The sequence below is a fragment of the Homo sapiens genome, chromosome 5 (assembly GCF_000001405.40).
Source record: "Homo sapiens chromosome 5, GRCh38.p14 Primary Assembly".
In the NCBI taxonomy this organism is placed as follows: domain Eukaryota; kingdom Metazoa; phylum Chordata; class Mammalia; order Primates; family Hominidae; genus Homo; species Homo sapiens.
In genome coordinates this window covers 90,856,291-90,877,970 of record NC_000005.10, presented here as the reverse complement: position 1 = coordinate 90,877,970, position 21,680 = coordinate 90,856,291, and the positions used below count along the sequence as shown (strand labels likewise).

At 36.0% G+C, this 21,680-nt stretch overlaps 1 protein-coding gene across 12 annotated transcripts in view; it reads right to left on the bottom strand.

Annotated features, from left to right (window-relative positions):
• ADGRV1 (adhesion G protein-coupled receptor V1) overlaps positions 1-21,680 on the bottom strand; it is a 605,641-nt gene that overhangs the window by 286,467 nt on the left and 297,494 nt on the right. For all 12 annotated transcript variants that reach the window (NR_003149.2, XM_017009963.3, XM_017009969.3 and 9 more), the window contains one exon: positions 14,114-14,214. Coding sequence is in view for 11 of the 12 variants with exons in the window: in XM_017009963.3 (XP_016865452.1) it covers positions 14,114-14,214 (101 nt within the window). In the remaining variant the exon portion in view is untranslated. The remainder of the gene's footprint in view (positions 1-14,113; positions 14,215-21,680) is intronic.

The window sequence follows — 21,680 nt, the reverse complement described above, 5'->3', positions numbered from 1 at the left end:
AAAGGGTAATATCACAGAAACTATACACACGATTTATTTTCCATAGTCATGCAGCTGCAGTTTTAATAGTTTCATTTTTTTTTCTGAATTTCACGAAAGGGCATGTAAGAGGTAATGTTAATATTTTTATATAAATTTAAATATTTCAAAAGGTAAAGTTGTATTGATTTATGTCTTGTGAGTCTTTAATATGTGATAGCAGTAAATTGTGTTTGAAATAACATTAAAAAAAAGAAAAAGCATTGAAAAAATATACCTTACACCTAACTATTTTTTCCTATCTCTTCACTTAAACTAATCACAAAGGGTTCACTGGAGGATGTTATGAGGAATTATTCTTTAAAATATGAAATTTGTAAGAGACATTAAATGAAAAAAAAAAAAACCACACACTGAAACCCTACTGATGCCTAACAGACAGAAACTTTCCATTTCTCCATACGCAGTAGTACAGAACTAGATACTTCAGCCTTTTCAGATTAGACAAGTTAACACATTTCCAAAAAAATGCTTGTGAGACACTAAAATGTATCTGTGGAACCCAAATTCTTTCCAAAAAATTCTCATTTTCTGTTGCTCCTCCATACATCAGTTCTGCTCAGGTCTGGCGACTATTCTACTTTTCCAACAGGTCTGCCCAGGAGTAGCTCTCCTTTCCTCACCATCAGCTCTTAACCAGTTGAACCAACCCAGATTCCTTGCAAACTAAACAGAACATAATCCAAGGTAGAGCAATCCTTTTTGCGTCACTAATCCTGCCAGATACTGCCCATTCCTCTGCCTTTACTAATGTCTGTCTTTTAATTATATGTAGATTCTTCCTGGTGAAGACATCTCATCTTTCAAGACAGCTAAGCATTTTTATTGCTATAAGATTTTCCTGACTCCACTCCTCAACCTGGATAGAATTAATAACTCTTTTTTGGTTCCCACTATATGCTGTACAGACTGCTATTATATGCTTACACCATTCTACTGTATTCATCTATTTACTTCTTTATTACCCTCCTGGTAGACAGAAAATTACTGGAGGGTCTAAACTATGTCTTTCACTATGTCATTACTATATTTTACATAACATGACATTACTGCGTCATAGTACATATGACACTAAATAGTTGGAGAACGGGAGCAATGAATGAATAACTGCAAACATGAGATAAATTTAAATTGTGCTTCAACAAAATTTTCAGAAAAGGTCTTCTTTTCATTACCTGGAGAATAGATTTTTCTGCTACTTTAAGACTCAAACAGGAGGTGGTAGACAGACTTGCTTGACCTCATCTGACTTTCCTATAATTCACACAAAAGTCTTCAATAATTAACCCTGACAAAGGTTGTCAAAGAGCAATTCCTAATCTTAGAGTGAAAGGTTGCTCAAGTGTGGATTGTTTGTATAATACAAGGGCATTTTTTAATGGAGTTTCACGAGTATCTAGTGAGTTAACAATAAATGGTAAAACACTGGCAATTCAGCTACTCTGGCTTCCTGGGGTTAATCTCTTAGATGCCTGCAGCCTTTGTCCTCCTGTGAAGTGAAGAAACTGTGTTAGCAGTGCCTACATGGATATTTTTATATAATTGTAAATGCTTATATTGCCCTTCTAAAATAAATATTTAATTGAACACTTTAAAAGTGTTCCAAAAGTTAAACCAACAATTTAATTTAAAGATTTCCAAGGTACAAAACCATGCTCCTTAAATGCAAAGATTTTAGTTTTTTTAAATATTTCTGAGAGGAGGATTAGGATTTGTGATTGTTATATCTTATTAATCCATTTATTTACAAAATACCAGGCATTGTAATGACTGCTTTCAACTACTCATAGGTTAAAAGGCTTTTGGAGTGTGGTATCAGATACAATAAACTCAGAAACTAAGAGTAGATTAATCACAATTATAAACATGACCTAAACATGACAGGATTGCTCATTATGTCTAGACATCCTGCAGTATGTTGGGGTATTTCATTTCTCAATTTCAACATACTAACAATGTAATAACCTTGATATTTATAGCCATATTTTAATGGCCCATTTTAATTATTTTGGCACTACAGACATTTACTAGTTAACACTATTAAAATTAGCTTTTACAATTAGTTATTATCTATCTTGGAGTATCTAAATTTTAACACAAAATTTCATTCCTTTGGAACACAGACATTACTTAGGAAAACTTTTTCTGTACTCCAATAATTGTTCTCTCATCTCCAAACCTGCTTCTTAATAAGTTACTAAAGCTGCTTGAAGAGCCAATTCTCTTTGCACACTCTGTGACCACAAGTTTCAGAAAACTTACCATTTGCTATCCAACTTATTTGCAGAGCACCTACCTGACCCAGGAAGCTAGTTTCCAGAAGTCTCCCTCTTCCCCTCCATCTCACCTTTCCTGACCCCACCACCACCTGGTTTCCTTGTAGTCTGCTTCTATGGACTTTTGAAGGAAGAAGAGCCATATAACAGAGGCTGTGGGAGCAGTATGGGCTTTCTTGAAGTTCCCAGTTAGAAATCAGAATGTTTTAACACGAAGAGAAGTTACAAATTCAATTAGGATCCAGAACAGTCAGACAGATTAAGAGTCAAATAAGCTTTGGTGGCTGGCTTGAGATCTTGACTTCTCTTTATAAGCATTTCTTTTCTGGGAAAATTAATTCTGCATTGAACACATCTAAATTATAAACCAAGAATTATAATACAATTTGTTTATAAAAGATGTAGATCACTACAGATTACATTTAAGAATATGAATAATTTCTTCTTTAAAATTCTGGCTTTAAATTCAGGGTCTTGCTCTGTTTCCCAGGCTAGAGTGCAGTGGTGAAATCATAATTCACAATCATAGCTCACTGCAGGCTCAAACTCCTGGACTCAAGGGATCCTCTAGCCTCAGCCTTCCCAGTAGCTGGGGTTACAGGCATGTGCCCCATACCCAGTTCTGGTTTTGTTTTGCTTTAAGGAATTGAGAATATAGGAAGTGCTTATTTTCATGAGAAAATGGTGATAGGTTAGTTTTAGATTGCCAAGAATGCTCTTTATAAGAAAGCCTAAGATTTCTTTTAACTTCATTGTTTTTCTTATTTAACCAGGTTGTTTTTTGTTTTTTGTTTTTTTTTGAGACAGAGTCTTGCTGTCGCCCGGGCTGGAGTGCAGTGGTGCGATCTCCACTCACTGCAAGCTCCGCCTCCTGGGTTCACGCCATTCGCCTGCCTCAGCCTCCCGAGAAGCTGAGACTACAGGTGCATGCCACCACGCCCAGCTAATTTGTATTTTTAGTAGAGACGGGGTTTCACCATGTTAGCCAGGATGGTCTCGATCTCCTGACCTCGTGATCCGCCCATCTCAGCCTCCCAAAGTGCTGGGATTACAGGTGTGAGCCACCGCACGCGGCCTTAACCAGTTTTTTAAATTGAAAATCTAGTATGAGCCAAAAAGCTTTTTATGAGTGCTAGAAACAGCAATGAACAAGACAGGCAATTCCTGATCTAATGGAGTTGACATTCCATTAGAAAGGGGAAAAGGAGACAGAATACAATACATGAACAAGAAAATTTAGATATGGATATATGATATGAATAAACATAACAGTGATGAGACCCCGTAGGGGTGGGTCTTCTTGCGGAGGCCACTCTGAGGTGGTAACGTAAGAGTTGAGTGAGTCAATGCTGTATAAATGGAAATACGGATGAGCAAAACACTGGGGCAGAACTTTCCAGGCTTAGGTATTAACTAGAACACAGGATGTAGGACAAGAAGAAGCTGGGCATATTTAAAGAACTGTGCCCACTGTGGCTGTGCTGGGTGAACGGGGAGGTGGTAGAAGATGAGATCAGAGAATGGGCAGAGACTGATCCTGAGGGAGATGGAGGTCAGAGTCCCTCTGTTATGTGCAATAGGAAGACACCAAAAAGTTTTAGGGAAAATGATTAGAGTCAATTTAGTCTTTAAAAGGACCACTCCTGCTGCTGAGAGAACAGACTATGGAGAAAGGGGTCAGGTTAAGACCACAGGGAAGAGTTTGGAGTCCATAAAAGAAGAAAGGTGGCTTAGGTGAGCAAGATAATGGTGACAATTGACAGAAGGGATCACAAATGGGATAAACCCAAAAAACAGACAGTAGAAAAGCATTTAATTCCCAAATATGGTTAACTAAGGTTTTTTTTTTTCCTTTCTTTTTTTAAGAGACAAGGTCTTTATTGCCCAGGCTGGAGTGCAGTGGCGTGATCACAGCTCACTGCAGCCTCCAACTCCTGGGCTCAAGCAATTCTCCTTTCTCAACCTCCAGAGCAGCTGGGACTACAGCGTGCACCACCATGCCTGGCTTTTTAATTTTTTTCTCTGAGCATTTTTTGTAAAGAAATCTATACTTTAAAAGTTTTTAAAAATGCAAAAATTGAGAATTTGTACTCAAGATTTTCATTCAACCTTGATCTCTGTCTTGCAGAAGAGCGAGAATAAACGGGGGGTTGGGGCTTAGAGGTGCACTCTGGAGTTGTGGAATTTCTCATAGTTTCCACATCAAACCCCATAAAATCACTTGCACATGCCATCATCTACAGATGAAATGTGACCACAAAACCCACTTGGTTGTTGATATTTGACATGTTTCAGTTTGGCAATAACATTCGCCCTTACAACCAAAACATAGTGCCTGAAACCAAGCTCCTCCCCCATCCTGGCAGAACACAGAGTGTATGTTCCCGAAAGATGGTATCTGAATAGGGCTCTGCCAGAAAGGCAGTTCTAGACTGCACACAACTAGCCTATAGGAAAGGCTGCCCTGTCTTTGTGACTGATGTTATTTTGGTCTTTTACCTTTTGGCATTGGATGTGATATATGAAAAAGAACAGTTTCTTCCCTTGGGAGCTTAAAGTTCAGCCAGGCAGGTAGGCAACTACATAAAAGGCACTCTGCTGTACAGCAAGCAGATAAAGCTCAGGAGACACAACTTCCTGGGGTTTAGGTCAATGTAAATCTAAAAACCAATTTTGTAAGGACCACTCATTAAAAAGTTTCACAGAAGGAAGCAAGATTTCACAGAGTTACAAAGGAAACTAAAGAGAAGTCTTTAGTTCTAGCATGCTTACTATAGTAACAGAGTAAATGTTAAAACTGTCTGCAAGAAGACCATGCTATTAGGCTCCAAGGAAGTGGAGGGAAGAAGCACTACCGGGGTCTCTGAGGGCTCCTCTGTAAAGGGGTGGAGAAGGGGTTATGGAAACACCCTTTGGAGATAGACTTACTTGATCTGAGACCTGGGGCAAGTCACAGAATTGTTTAGTGTCTCAGATTTCTTACACACAATGCAGAGGCAATAATACATATACTGACTATGCCATAGAGTGCTGGAATTAACTTATCAAGTGTTTATCATCGTCCTTAGCAGTACTGTTTCATTAAATAAGTGTCTCTGTATTTTCACAAGACCAGTGCTCTAGCCCTTCAGCTATGGAGCCAAGTATCTCTGTATTTCAAAATATAAGTCTATTTCAAATTTCAAATGTACACACACACACACACACACACACACACACACACACACACACAAGCTCATACCATATGTATAATTTTCTAGATAGGCAAGCATATTATATATATCCAATTTTTAAGGTTATAACAATTCAACACAAGCAATGAGGACACAAACACTTAGAAAATACTCAGATCAGGGAAAAAAAACTCTTAAAAACTATAAACAAAATTACTGATGATGTCCATTACAGATAATGCAGACCAACGGAAACAAATTTCATGGTCTACATTACCTATAGTACAAGGAAAGGCACAGTTACAGGCTTGACAGAGCCAATTATTGAAAAAGGGTGGGGCCCCAAATTCTCCCCTCCCTTGCAGCTGATTTAAGAAAGCCTGAAGCACAGAAAAGCAGGCTCAGGGGCTCAGGTTCTCTGGAAGGATTCAGTGTTCAACTCAGGGCAGAACCTGAAGGGCCTCTGCATGTCGTGAGGTAGCAGGAATCCTCCTTGCCCTCCTCTTCTGAAATCTCCTTCCTCGGATCTTGTGTCTTGGGCATTTGAACATGATCCACTATGTATCTTCTCAACAATGCTGCAAATCAGGCATTCTTATTATTTTCCTAGTGATTTTTTTTCCACTGTAGTTGACAGATGTTACCCCATCAGTCTCTCTAATTCCAAAACTGAGACACTTCCCCCTACGCTCCATATCTGTTACAGTTCTTTAGAGCTCTCATTAAATATTCATAAAAACAACTTTTTTCATATGTTGCTTTTGCCTAGTCAGGGACATCAAGGAAGGAAGGCTTTTAAAGGTCAAGGATAGTTTATGTTACTGAAGCTGTAATAAAAGGTTCCAAACTGGTATTTTTTGGTAAAGTCTGGATTTGCCTCACAAATTTTCCTAGTAACGAAAGCTATGTTGCAAACATGATAATGTCACTGTAGCCTCATTCAGAATATTACTCACTCTTTCTGTTGCTTTGCTACTTCAGCACTTGGGAAAGTCTGAATTTCCCAGTATTGTGACCATGATACTATTTTTGTATCTTTAGTGTCCACTTATTTTCAATGTAGTGAGAACAGTCTATTTGAGCTGAATTTTGAAAGCTTGTTGAGGAAAAGGAATTCGATTTTATTATTAAGAGACTTTAAGAAAGACAAATTTGATACATAAAGGAAAATGTAGCCTTAAATAAAAAGAAAGCAAAAATAAAATAATATTTTTTTGGGGAATTCAATACCTTAATATGCAAATTTCACTCTATTTTGAGTACCAAAATCATTGTAATCCTCCAAAGCACACACTTGTGAATAGCATAATATTAATATTTTTGGTTGTAGAATGACTTATATAATTATTTGATAATTGCTAATTATAAATTTGTTTCATGATTGATTGCAAGTTTACATAAAGTTCAATAGTAACAATACCAAAAATATAAGGCCATCACAGAAATTTGGATTCAAGAAATGCAAAAAGAAAGCTCAAACTACAGCTCTAATTTTCTCCTAGATATAAGGTGATTAAGTTAGGTGCATTAGCAGGGAGTCACTTGCCTAGACCTAAAAAATTCAAATTAATCACAACATATAAATAAACACATGGATCAAAGAGAAACTTACTAATTCCTATTACCCTTTCAACAAACTTCAACAGGAAGTTCTCTTTCAAGGAAAGAAAATATTAGTGGAGGAGATGGGGGAGACCTGCCCCTTGTGTGGCAGCCCCAGGGCCCAGATTCCCTGCAGCAAACCTATGATCAGAGCCACCAGAATTGTTCCCCACTTCCTGTGCTTTGATTGCCTTCTTCTTTCATTGACAAACTTCACAGGTGTGGTCTGGTAGCCTCATCCATTTTCTTCCTATCCATTTACTCTTTAACCTTTTCTAATTTTCATCATTTCTCTCCAAGTTTCCAGGGACCTTGTTCTTGCCAAATTTGAGGACTAATCTCCTCATGATGCTCAAATCTTTCCATTTGAAACCTTTTTCCTTCTTTGGCTTCAAAAACTTTAACATTTTCCAATCCTCTTGTAGTGATCCTTCTCATTCCACATAGCGTGGTCTCTAAATACGTGAGTTTTGGAGCCAGACACATCTGGCTTCAAATTCTTCTTCCTTCAATGTTCTACCTATGTAAGTTAGGGTAGGTAACTGAATATCTCTTAGTCTCTTTAGGGATGATAACAGTACCCATCTCATCTGGTTGTTATAAGAGTAAATAATGCAATATGTGTAAATCACTAAATTCAGTGCCACAAAGCCCAGCCCTTAATGACATTAGTTATATGTATTCTATATACACAGGTTCTCTACCCAACCTGTCTCAGAGAACCTATTTTAAAGTGTCAAGAAGCTGTACATTTATGTAGATAACATCTAAATCTCCATGCTATGGAAACCTTAAACCCCTCATGCTCAAAATTGCACATATCGTTCTCCAATTATTAAACCTTTCCACTTTCATATTTAAGTCAAATGAAACCACTAGTTTCACAGTCACCTTAAAAATCTTCTCTCTCATTTGGTGACAGAGTAAATTTCATTAATTCCTCATTTATGAAGCAACTTAGTATAGCAGTTTTAAAAATGACTGGAGGCTGGCTGCTGTGTTCAAATACTAGTTCTGTTACTTACCACTATGTGACCTATGGCAAGTAATTAAACTCTTTATGTCACAATTTCCTAATCTGTAAAATGAGAATAATATTAGTACCTACCTCATAATCTCTACCTCCTGTAATATGTAATAAATATTACATTAATGTTTAGTAAATAAAATTTGCAATGTGGCTTTTTTATTGATTTAAAGACAGACAAGAAAAGTGCAGAAATTTAATAAGGCAAAATAAGATATTTTTATTAGTCCTTATTCCTTCCTTTGAATTCTCATTGCCATTACCACTGTCTAAGCTCAGAACCCATCCTAATCGGATGATGGTAAAAGCAGTCCACCCAACCTCTCTACTCTCCCTAATTAGAGTCTCTTACCTTCTTTAGTCCATTTTTCCTTTAATCCTTCATTGCCAGATCAATCCTTAAAAATACTCCTTTCATATTGTGACTTTTTGGACTAACTCCATTGGTGACTCTGTAACTCCTCATGGTTCTCAGACAATGGGAAGCTGCCTCACCTGCAGTCAAAACTTACCTATTTCTCTGTGGGATCTGCAAGCCTTACTCAAGTGAAAGCAGCCAGGATCACTATAACTTAGATGTCTTTGTTCTTGTTCTTTTCCTTGCCTAGAATGTGTCACATTCCAAGTCTTCAAATCTTATACATTCTTCAACAACCAGGTCAGATTCCATTTCCTCCACAGAGACTTTGCAAACTGGGGTCCCTTATTCTCAGCCTATGCAGTACTACAGAGGAAGAGATTTTTTTCTCTGTATATACTTGGTTCTTACTATGAGGTTAGTGCTTTAGGTTATTATTTACACGCTTTGTGTGCATGTATGCATCTTGCTTGGTATTTCTCATTGCGCAATCTTAATATTGTACATATGATAGATGAGATGGAAGTGGTCGAACTGCTGGATGAATAATGGTCTTGACCTGAGATGCGGGTCTGGCTCAGTTTTTTGGTTTAATTTCACAATTGAATGTTGAATGGTCACTCAGTCATGAATGTAATAATATTTTCACCATGCCATTGAGCATACCTAAATTGAGTCAAATAGTTTAATAAATTCAACTTAAATGTATATTCATATCTGTGTGCAGAATGTCTTTATTCATATTCACCCAACTAATCTCTACATGAAGAAAAGATACAGTTAAATACCCCAATCTCTACATAAAGACACATTTAAATACAGTTAATTGTACAAAAAAAAAAAAAAAGGCTTACATACTCAATATTATTCTAGCGGGGGGAGGGCACCTACAGGATCTTGGTAGAAAAGAATGAACTTGGGGCAGGGGAACTAGTTATATCTTCTTTCTAGTAGTTTATTTTATGTCCAAAACAACACTGAGAAGTTTTACAAATTGTCAAATGCTATGAGAATGACCAGAATAAAGGCCTTGTTCATACTCTAAATTATCTCTTAGTCCACTTGCCTAAGGACCTTTCCCTTTCTTAGAAAAAAGAAATAAAAAAAATCAGAAGGACACAGCAGCAGCCTTTCATTAATGAGGGAAAGATACAAGTGTGCAGTCGTTTTAAAGGCAATAATATTTGAAATGAAACTAAAAAAATTAATTAATGGGATTTCTTAAATAAAATTTCATACTAAGAAAAATAGCTTGATTATATGGATTTAGTAATAATAATAACAGCAACAGTGGCAGCAACAACAACAACAACCAGAGATGTTTTGGGGTCATAATATAGCTAATCTAATACCTTACTTAACAAGTAGGATCCGGAAACCCGCCATAGACTCACTGATGCACTACCTGAATTTTAACAAGATGCCTGCATTGAAGTTTAGGAAACACTTTCCTTGCTACTTTCTTGATCCATTTATATCTCCACTAACATATAATCATAAATGTTCTACTGAAAAATGACCCTCTGCTTCTCAATTTCCTAATCTTCAAAGCAAGATTTAATTTTGATCCTTGTACTTAAACGCTTACATACTTTTTTATTCAGCAAAAAAGTAGAAATAACAAAGGATATTCTGGTTAATAAGTGATTAACAAAAACTTCCAACTAAGGAAAATTCTTTTCTGACTGATGAACATTTTACCATCTCTATCTTACTCTGCTTCAGTTGATTAAAATATGCTTGTTACATATGTGTCTTCAAGCCTTACTCACACAATGACTTTCTTGAGTTGGCAATCTCAACAAAGCAGCGCAAGCTGCTGGAACAGAAACCAGGATTCATAGTATCCAGAAGGAGCCAGCATTTGGGAAGTCACACAGGACTTCTGCCTTTAGTCATGCACAAAGATTCCCAAAGATGCTAGGTACTCAAAGCGAGAATGACATAATTCCAGATTAAAGCAGAATCTTTTCGCAAGGGTGTCTGAGTAGGATCCTCCCTGGGAAACAGGACATTGCAAAATGACATCCCAAAATGTTGCAGAATGAGAAAGTGATCAAAAGACAGTAACAGTCCAACTTTTTTAAATTCCAGAGAATAGACCCCTAAGCTATAGTCTTGCGGTTAATGTACGGACTTATACACATTTCTAGATGAATTTGCTATTTAGTTTCAGAAAATGTGTTTATGCTGTACAAATAACAAACCATAGAGAAGAAAAACAAATATTTTCCCTTGTTAAGTATTATTAATCAGAGTAAATACAGTTCTATCTTTTCATCATGTTTTCTATGAGGAAACTTCTGTTCTTTTTTTAGATTTGGAGGATTGCTTTTCCTGACAGAACCTCCAGAACTGAGAACCCTGAACTGCAAACTTGCTCTTTGTCACTAGTTGTTTACCAGCCTTATCAGGGCACACATGGGTTGGCAATGTGATTCAAAGATAAAAATCCCAAAGATATAATTAGATGTTTTTCTCAGAAATATCACCCAATACCATGAAAATTTGTTTGCTGTTTCTTCACATCATACTTGAAGAGCCCCACAATTTCTTGTCATTTAATCATTTTCATTTATATAAGTGAGAAAAAATAACTTGGTATTGAAGAAATATGTACATTTTTTGATAAACTGAAAATAGAGACCTTTATCTCAAAGCTTCTATGACATAATAAAAACATTTTTCTGTATCAATAACACACTTAATGCTCATAAATATAATGATGAAGCTAATTTTATGTCCCTGAATTTAAACATATATAAGCAGTAGAAAGATATATTCAAAGCCAGTGGAGTACAATCTTTCTTATGGTACATTTGCATTTAATTAAATTCTGAATAAAGAGGATAAAAAGAGAAAGGTAGGACACCACAAATGTGTATTTGCTATGCTGCAAATACCCTCTTGCCCAGTTAAAGAAGTACTATGAAAGCATCTCTCAAGTTTTTTACTGAACGCCATCATGGCTAAAGAGAGATCGATAAATTTAAGGGAGAAAAATAAATCTTCTACTGCCACCTACTGATATTTTATAGTCAATGATTCTCAAGGGTGCTATAATGACAAACTCCAGATTCAAGCAGAATCTTGATTTTTAAAGCAGGAATAATCTTTGGATTTGTATCTATATTCCTCCAATCAAGAAAATACACACACACACACACACACACACACACATATACACATACACAATAAATTATAGTTATAATAGTCTACATATTTCTAGAAGTAGAAAGTAGAGCTGGACGAGCATATTTTCCTGACTTTCTGATTCACGGACCCATTATACCACACTGCTCCAAAAGGAAGTCCAGGACTACCACATTTCCATTCTTTCCTTCTCCACAAAAGCCGTTCTACTTAGTCCTAGTTCATTAATAAAGATTTGAAAATGAATGGTCTTGGCAGACTTGTCTGCAAAGTATTCACAACTCAAACACTCTAGGTCAGCTATAGAATTTTCCCTCTTAGCTAAAGAACCACAGGCCAAGCCTGCATTTTTTTAAGACTTCTCTAGAGTTGATTTAACCTCCAAAAATGACAATATAACATTGACAGAGGATCCCAAATGAAAGATCCAAGGCTGGAACTGTAATAACTCCTGTTGGCAAGATTCTATAACTGGAGCTATAAACATGACTTTAAAATTTAGATAGGGTGGGAGCCCAACTTACTGTAGTCAGCTTCTTGTTTTGGGGGGTCTAAGAATTTTTTAAAGCCTTAGCTAAAAGGTTTTAAGGGAGATAACTATTCTTAACTCAGAGGGTATTGTTAAATCTAAGTAGATAAAGCATTTTGAAATAAACTATTTTCTATCAATAACATACCAATTCTTCCTGCCAAAAAAGAGCTATGAAAATACTTTTTTAGTTATTTCATGTCACAAGTCATACACTACATGATTTTTCATGCCACATTGTTTCATGTATTCTAAAAATATACTGAAAAACATGGATATGACTAACCGTTTTGTCCAAAATTAATGTTAAGTACAATATGAATCAAAAGTCAGTGCTCCAACATAGAAATCCTGGTTTTGTCTTTCACATCCCTAGACACGAGCAAATTTGTCTGCTAGGACACTGAAGAGCTGTCTGTAATTCTATAGTGCTATAATTAAGTCTTGTACAAATTCTGCTGCCAAAAAATCACCAGAGTGGGTGGTGAATAAAGCCAAGTAAACTCTAATTATGGAAGGCGGGTTTTCTAAGATCTTAGATTCAAGAAGCAAAGGCGAGATCAGACAGCTAAGGCAGGTTACAAAGGCAATATAAATAGCCTTGTGAAATTCAAAGCAAGCCCCTTTGGTAACCACTGCTACTTCTCATAGCTCATAGGGCCTTTAAAAAACCAATCAGAGACCTCTGCTTAGAATCCAGCACTTAATTATTCCCTGAAAAACAGAGTTATGGAATTTACAGTCATTTTCACTCCTAGAACAAAAAAGGGTGACAGAATCCCAATGTTTAAGATAATTTTCCATTTTATATTTCAGCTCCACCACAAACGCTATTTTTTTCAAGTTCTATCCAGAGTTCAATAAATGCACTTTAGCATTCTAAAAAACTGTGCAAATCATGTCTACAGCACAATAAATACACACAAATTCAATACACACATATGACCAGCACCCAATCAATAGAGTATTGTCTGCATTGCAGAAGTGTCTCCCCATCCAGAAAAGTGGGATTTTTTAATTTTATAAAACAATATTAAAAATTATCTCCATAAGAGCATTATATAGAATATTCTTTCTGCCTGGATCTATAATTTCAGCCTTAAAGTAGAAGTGATTATGCTTTTTTTCCTTTGCCTATATAAATGTCTAGGCCCTTTTTAGTCCTTAACAACAAACTGAATTTTCACTCATTTGAGTCCCAGCTCAATATCATCTCCTCTATGAAGACTTTCTTGACCTTCAGAGAAAAATGAAAAAAATGAATTAAGCCTTCATCTATTTTCACAGAGTAGTTTGCAAATGGTCTATGTTCACACATCACACTGAATTAGTTATTTATATGTACATCTACTTTTCTAGACTATGAACACCGTATGGATAGAAAAAGCATCTAATTTCATCTTTTGTTCTGGTTTCTGTGCTTTACACAGTGCTTTAAACTAGATACTTTAAATTGTGTGCTAATAAGTCATTGTTTTTCACACAGTTTCTTCTACCATAGAAAACTGATTTTTCAAAAGAAAATGTTCTATCAAACTATTATAAGAAACAATACATAGTGTCCAGATGCTTTAAAAGTTTATATCATCTTAATGCCCTAAACATAAAGAATTTATAACACAGCATATTTCAAACAGATTAATAAAATGTTAATTTTAATGTATATATAAATTACAAATACATTCAGCATATATTAGCTGACAATAAGATGCTTTGTGATAAGAAGTTTTTTTTTTTGTAAGCGATGATATTAAGGTGCTTCTCTGTAGAAAGAAGCATTTTAGGCCTGATTCTCCTTATATGACTCTCCTGTCCCCATTCTCTTCCACTGCAAAACTAAACAAGTTTATTTCAACTAAGTTGAGATTAAACTTTACTTTTACACTCAGTTCAAGAACCAAAGAAGAAGAAACACAAACATCTCACGATAAATCAAAAATGCCAGCGCTCTCCTACCTGTGTACCTAAGCTGGCTGCCATCATGTGAGTCAGAAGTTTAGCTGCAAACATGGAGTACCTGGCACAGAAGATATGGGAAAGAACAGCCAAGCAAAGACCTGTAGGAACAAAAAAGTCCACATATGGTTTAATAATCCATGAAGATTCTAACAGCATCATAGCAAGAATCTTTGGGGGCAGCTAGGCATGTCAGGTCTGCCACCTGCCTCTGCCCAGTACCTCTGGAAAAGATGACATGGCAATTGTAATCTACTCCATTTTCCATGACAAGTAAGATCTTTACACTTACCAGTTAAGCCCAATATTCAGGCATGTGAATAGGATTTTTCAGTCATAAAATTTTGACTGGTCCTACCAAAACTCAGGTTTGGTAATTACCCCTTTTTTATCTACTAGAAATAGTTCTGTAATTACAATAGTGTTAGTTATGAATTTTAAAGGCAACTTTGCAATACTGGATGCCCAAACCAGGAAGAAAGTGTGCTATTTTCTCCACAATGACTTTTAACTTAAACTTCTACATTTCTAAGTTGTATGAAGAAAATTATTCTTATTATCTTTGAGTTTGTTTGAATTCACCTGTTTACACTACTTCAAAGGGATAGTTAGAACCTTAGCACTAATCCAACAAATCTTTTATCTTGCAATTCATATAAATTTCTTTTAATGTTAGATTTTTAAAGGCAGGGTATACATGTGTTTTAAAAATATTTTCTGCCTTTTAAGACTTAAATGTGCTGCATATGATAACCTATTTGCTTTTTCACTTAAGCTTTTACCCCACTCTTATTCTCAGTAGGGTTATTTTGTCTAAGGATTACTGAAACATAACAGCAATTGACATATGTATACTGCTTTGCCATGTGCTTTGCATTTTTACCCGTTTAGTTATATCAATGCCTCGTTAATAAACAGGAGGCACTGCACTCATTTAACATTTTGTTTTCTTTTGAAGCTGTGGAACAAACTTTCAGAATACACTGCATGTTGGCATAAGTGGACTGGGCATCTGCAAAAGGTCCACATGGGGTCTTGTTACTCATTTTCTCATAACTTCTTTTTGAGAAACCATTTGAGTTATATTTTTAAATTTTAACAAGGTAGACAAGGCTCTCCACAACAAGGGAAGCTTTGCGTTAGTCAAGGCTTTTGGCCTAGAAATTTGGCCAAGAAATCTAGAGCAATCCGTTTTTTGGGAAGGCTTCCATGGGGTGTTCTGGAACAGGTGTGTAGGTCCTGGGTCTGGCTTCAAAATTCACCCACACAAGTACAGAGTGTATCTTCAGGAACTGCAGAGTCATGCTAGATATTGTGCATCTTGACTTAGGTAGTCTATATACTACTGGAGTTGATGCTCAGAACTCAAGTAATGCATACTTTGAATTCCCTAGGATGATAAAAGCCAGCTTAAATTCAAGTCTTAAGTTGAGTGTGTGAATGTGCATGCCTGTGCATGTATGTGTGCATGTGTATGTCTGTGTGTGTGTGTGTGTGTGTGAGTAATATACTGACTTTAAAGCAAGCCTTGCAAGGTTTTTTTCATTTTAAGGCACATGATCACAAATATGTGCTCTGCTGTAAGTTGACTGTGGTAGAGGATGACAATGTGAGGCAAGGAATTAGTGCTCAGCAAGGAGACATACACAAGTCAACTTTTTTCTAGTGCACAAGAAGAGCTTACTTATAGCCTTTTCCTTTAACTTAGTAATGCTCTATTATACTCCTGTTTCATGATATACATTTAGTATACTAAATTTGACCAGCTTAGAAATATTTAATTAAGTATATTAGGCTTCAGTTAAAATGCTAGCATGACACCTGGTGGCAGTTCAGGATTCAAAGCCAGTGGCAGGAAGATAGGTGAGATTCTACCAGCCTATAACTATAACGCATCATAGTTATCTAGATGCGTTTTTTACGTAGGGGAGAATAATATTGATAAAACCTCAAACAGGCTGGGTCCTAGTCTAGGGAAACTCATCTGGCTTGGGTGAGGATATTGAATACCTAAAATTTAAAGAAACAATTATTTCAATTATCAGGTTTCTAAGACACTATATACTAAATACTTATCTTTTATTTTTTCATCTGAAATTAAATAGCTATATTTAACATCTATTTAAACTTAGAAATCTTTTTTTAATTGCAGAAACTTTTTGGTTGAAATTCCTTAATATAAATATGCAAATTACAAAGCATAAAGTGTTATAACTATAAATAGAATGATTTTTTAAAAAATAAAGTATAGCCGGGCATGGTGGCTCAGGCCTGTAATCCCAGCACTTTGGGAGGCCAAGGTGGGCAGATCACGAGGTCAGGAGATCGAGACCATCCTGGCTAACACGGTGAAACCCTGTCTCTACTAAAAATACAAAAAATCAGCCGGGCATGGTGGCACGCACCTGTAGTCCCAGCTACCCGGGAGGCTGAGGCAGGAGAATCGCTTGAATCCTGGAGGCGGAGGTTGCAGTGAGCCAAGATCACACCACTGCAATCCAGCCTGGGTGACAGAGCAAGACTCTGCCTCCAAAAACAAAAACAAAAAAAAAATAGATAAATAAATAAAAATTTTAAAAAATAAAGTATCACAATTCCAGGTATTACTTAAAGGTATACTCTGAACAGTTTTTTTAAAAAACAGATTTCTTGGCAATGATGTAGATAAAACAAGCAGCTAATTGAGTAATTTGCCTTTTCTTTTTTTTCCTACCACTATGTGGATTAGAGATTCGGTTCTAAAAGAACATCTAATTGGTAAAGAACAGCTAAAGTCTTTTATTATCATACTGGACTACAGATTCTCTTATCTATCTCTACAATATTTGAAAGTTTGTATACATATAAACATATGAAATGTTTGTACATAAATTACATATATACATTACATATGTTTATAAACATCTTCATTATTTGGCATCACTTAAGAATGAGAGATACTTTCCAAATAACTTAAGTTTACTCTTTCACAAGACAAGTATTAGTACGTTTTCTCATGAAATTTTCCTTAAAATATTTACAAATTATTTGTTTATCTGTCTGCCTTCTCTACAGATAAATCCAAATAAAACCAAATTATCATTATTTCATTATTAAATCCACTATTAGCTTTTTAGCTTAGGCTTTTTTTTTTTTATTATACCACCTAATGTATTAGATTGGTGCAAAAATAATGATGGTTTTGGCAACAATTTTAATTAATTTTAATTTCAAAAACTGCAATTACTTTTGCACCAACCTAACTGCTGTGCTTGTCACTTTTTGTACTTTTTGTTGCTTATCACTATTGATTCCCATGTTTCTGCAACTCTCTTCTCAGCATAATGCCTTTTGGTTACTGCTACTAATAAGCTAAAGGCACAAAACCCCGTCTCTACCAAAAATACAATATTAGCCGGGCATGGTGGCGGGCACCTGTAATCCCAGCTACTCGAGAGGCTGAGGCAGGAGAAGTGCTTGAACCCTGGAGGTGGAGGTTACAATGAACTGAGATCGTGCCATTGCACTCCAGCCTGGGCAACAAGAGCGAAACTCCGTCTCAAAAAAAAAAAGATTTCTAGTATGAACAAAAGTCAGTACGAAGCATTTTACAGTATAAAAGTTCTGTGTATTAGGGGAAAGGAGTTATTCTAGAGTGGTGAGGTTGCCAGGAGACTAGCCTCCAGATAAACAGGGTGGTTGAACTTAACGCTGTTCAATATAATAGCCACTAGTCACATGTGGGTATTTAAGTTTAAATTTTCATTATTATTATTATTATTTTTTAAGAGACAGGGTCTTGCTCAGTCTCCCAGGCTGGAGTGCAATGGCATGGTCATAGCTCACTGCAGCCTTGAACTCCTGAGCTCAAGCAATCCTCCTGTCTCAGCCACCTGAGTAGCTGGGTCTACAGCATGTGCCATCATGTTTGGCTAATTTTTTTTTTTTTTTTTTTACTTTTTGTACAGACAGGGTCTCGCTATGTTGCCCAGGCTGGTCTCGAACTCCTGGCCTCCCAAAGTGCTGAGATTAAAGGCATGAGTCACAGCACCCAGCCTTAAATTTAAATTTTCATTAATTAAAATGAAATAGACTTAAAAATTCATCTTTGCACTTGTATAAGCCATATTTCAAGGGCTCAGTCACCACTGGTGACTAGTGGCTACCACACTAGACAGTGTAAAATATCCCCATCAACCTGGAAAACTCTATTGGAGAGTGTTGTGTTAAACTATCCTAAGTGAAGGCAAGAAAGAATATGCCACATTTTAAAATAATTTTTTAAATTATCCCGGCACGGTGCCTGTAATCCCAGCTACCCAGGAGGCTGAGGCAGGAGACTCGCTTGAGCCCAGAAGGCGGAAGTTGCAATGAGCCGAGATCACACCACTGCACTCCAGCCTGGGCGACAGAGAGAGACACCATCTCAAAATAAATAAATAAAATAATTTTTATTAAAAATGGCTAGAAAAATATGGTATGGCACTTGAAAGTATGAACTTGACACATAGCAAAAATACATCTCATTATTGGAGGATATCATCAGATCAATACTGTGTATTTATTTACTTAACCAATATCTATTAAAACCTACTGTATGTCAGGCTGGTGTGGTGACTCACAGCTGTAACTCAAGCACTTTAGGAGATTCAGGCAGGAGGATCGCTTGAGGCCAGAAGTTTTAGAGACCAGCCTGAGCAATATAGTAGGAACTCCTGCGCCCACTTGCCTCACTCCCACCATCTCTACAAAACAACCAATGAACTAGTATATGTCAGGGACTGCTGGGCAATGTTCGGAAAGATAAATCCTTGCTGCTCTTTCAGTGCTTGTCTCTCTGTATTTCTATCTGGATCTTCTCCAAGACACAGACTAGTTATGAAAGCACACAGAATATAATTCTGATCAAAAAGACACAAGGGAAAACATTTTGGGTGGCTTTTTAGAAAGTTCTCACTGCTGTTAAAACTGGACTCAAGAGCTTTCCCCCTGGCAAGCCTGGACATTGCTAGTGTGATGCTTAGAGTTGCTAGAGCCAACTTAAGACCATGTACAAACAAAGCTGAGGGAAAAAAATCCTTGAGGATAAAAAGAGAAGAGCCTGGGCTGCTGACAACACCATTAAGGCACTGAATTAGTTAATCTGGGAACTAAATATATTTGTTTAAGATATCTTTGAGTCATCATCTGTTACTTGTAGCCAAATTCATCCCAAATAATATGTCCATATTGGCCAGGCATGGTGGTTCACATTTGTAATCCCAGCACTTTGGGAGGGTGAGGTGGAAAGATCGCTTGAGTCCAGGAGTTTGAGACCAGCCTGGGCAGCATGGCAAAACCCTATCTCTATAAAAAATACAAAAATTTGCCAAGTGTGGTGGTGCTCTGTCTCAAAAAAAAAAGATTACAAGACTATAAGACTTGTATTCAGAGTCAAACTCAATGCAGTAGCATAACCAATAGCCTTATCTTTGATAGTACAATATCAAAAGAGTTATGGGAAGGCAGAGTAGGCTTCCTTGACATCCTCAAAATAGCAATGTGTATCTCAAACCATGCTGAAGTTTCTTAATAATTATACTACAAAATTATGGCTTTATTATGTAATTATTTTGTTATATTTCTCCCAAGCCATCTTTGTGTTGAGTTCCATAATGCTGCACTCTAATGCCCACAGCAATGGATGATTTGTCCTTTCATTTTAACCTCAAGGAATGATCTTAGTTTAATTTTCTGATAGTTGGCAAACTAGTTTACAATTTTAAGTCACAGGTATATGCCCTTTTCTTTCATCTTTCTAAGCTGAGAAGTGGTAAGCTTTTTGGCCTCTACAACTATTTGACACACTTTGATCATTTGGGTAGTTCTGCTCTAGTATAGTAAATAGAACTGCAAACTAGAATTGGTACCGATACATTGTGATCTACTCTGTTTTTTTAAAAAAAGGTTAAATTCCTGTCTAATTGTATACTGCCGTATTTCAGGAAAAGTACTAGCCAAGTTCTATCAAGTTCAGAGTGATATTCAATGTGTCTTGACCTAAATTATAGAATATGTATATAAGATATATAAAGAATATGTATGTAAGATATATAAAATTCTCTTTTCTGGTTCCTGGGGATCCATCAGAGGGATGGGAATTCATCCAGCCCTGAGGGATGAGCTGAAACTGAGGTACAAAGACAAGACTTTGTGTCTCCTTATCGACAGAACATGCAATTACATAACAATATGACATGGACAGAGAGAATAAAATAATTTCAAATATGACTCCAAGTCAAAAGTGATAAAAGCAGATACTAACATTTAGGTGTTGATTCTCAAATACATGAGCAAATCCATGTAGCCTTTTCTAGAGTAAGTTGCAGAAAAGATATACAGGTATTTATTAATGATTCTCCAGGAAACTCATTATATTCAGTCCTACTAGTTTTCTATAAAATCAGGATAACATTCTCTCTTTAGTTTTTAAAACTCCTTTTTTTTTTTATATTCAGTCTTTGGGAACAAGCAAGGGATTTTGTGGGTCATAGCAGCACATAAACCTATGCCTCTATGGAAACATGTAAAATGACATCTAGATTGTATTTCAACATTATATCTTTTGATTTTATTTCATCATTCTATAAAATTTCTTTGCTCTTTAAATACATTAGCATAAAAGTAAAATAGGATGTCTCCATCTGATTTTGGAACTATGTGGACCTAGAAGATTCTATTAAATAAGAAATGTCATCCTTTATGAAAGATATTAAGAATAAGAAGTTATTATCTTGCTATTGAATTGAAGTTAGGTTCAGAATTAAAATACATTAAAGAAAATTTATAACTATATAAAATAAAGTTATATTGGAAAGACTGGCAACCAGAACAAATAGTAATTAATTACTTGATTCTATCTCCAGATAAACTTCCTAAAAGATAATGACTATTAGAGAGACTGTTTGCATACCAAATACAAGAGATATGCATTCAATAATAATCACATTTACAGACAAAATATCACTAAAGCAGAATGTTAGAAATGTCTGACTTCATATATTTATCACCCTGTTACATAGACACAATTTATAATCAAATATCATGGGTGGGAAAAATGAAGTACAGAGAAACTAAGTAATTTGATCCAGGTCCCACAACTAGCTAACAGCATAATTAGGATTTGAACCCAAGCAGTCTGGCTCCAAAGTTTGCATTTTTTAACCATTACCCTATGCCCAGCTCTTAATTTAATTCACTGTATAGCACCTTGTTCATAGAAAAAGTTGTGGGGCTGAAAGAAGAGAATCAGGGCACAGAATGGGTGAGGGTGGGGTATAGAATTATAGTTTAAGGAATTCTCAGATGCCCGACCATATAATTAATACAGCAAATAATAATACTTCTATTGTTATGTTGTTGGGTAAATAGTTTGACAGACATTAATACAATTTAATTTCTTCTTACTGCCAAATATGAGGCCTAGATGTGGAATGTGAAAGATGATTTATTTTTTAACACAGTGGTTGGCATATTCACAACTCTTAAGTTGTAGAATACAAAATCTACCCATGAGGTAGCTTTAAAAACAATAAAAGCACAAAATTCT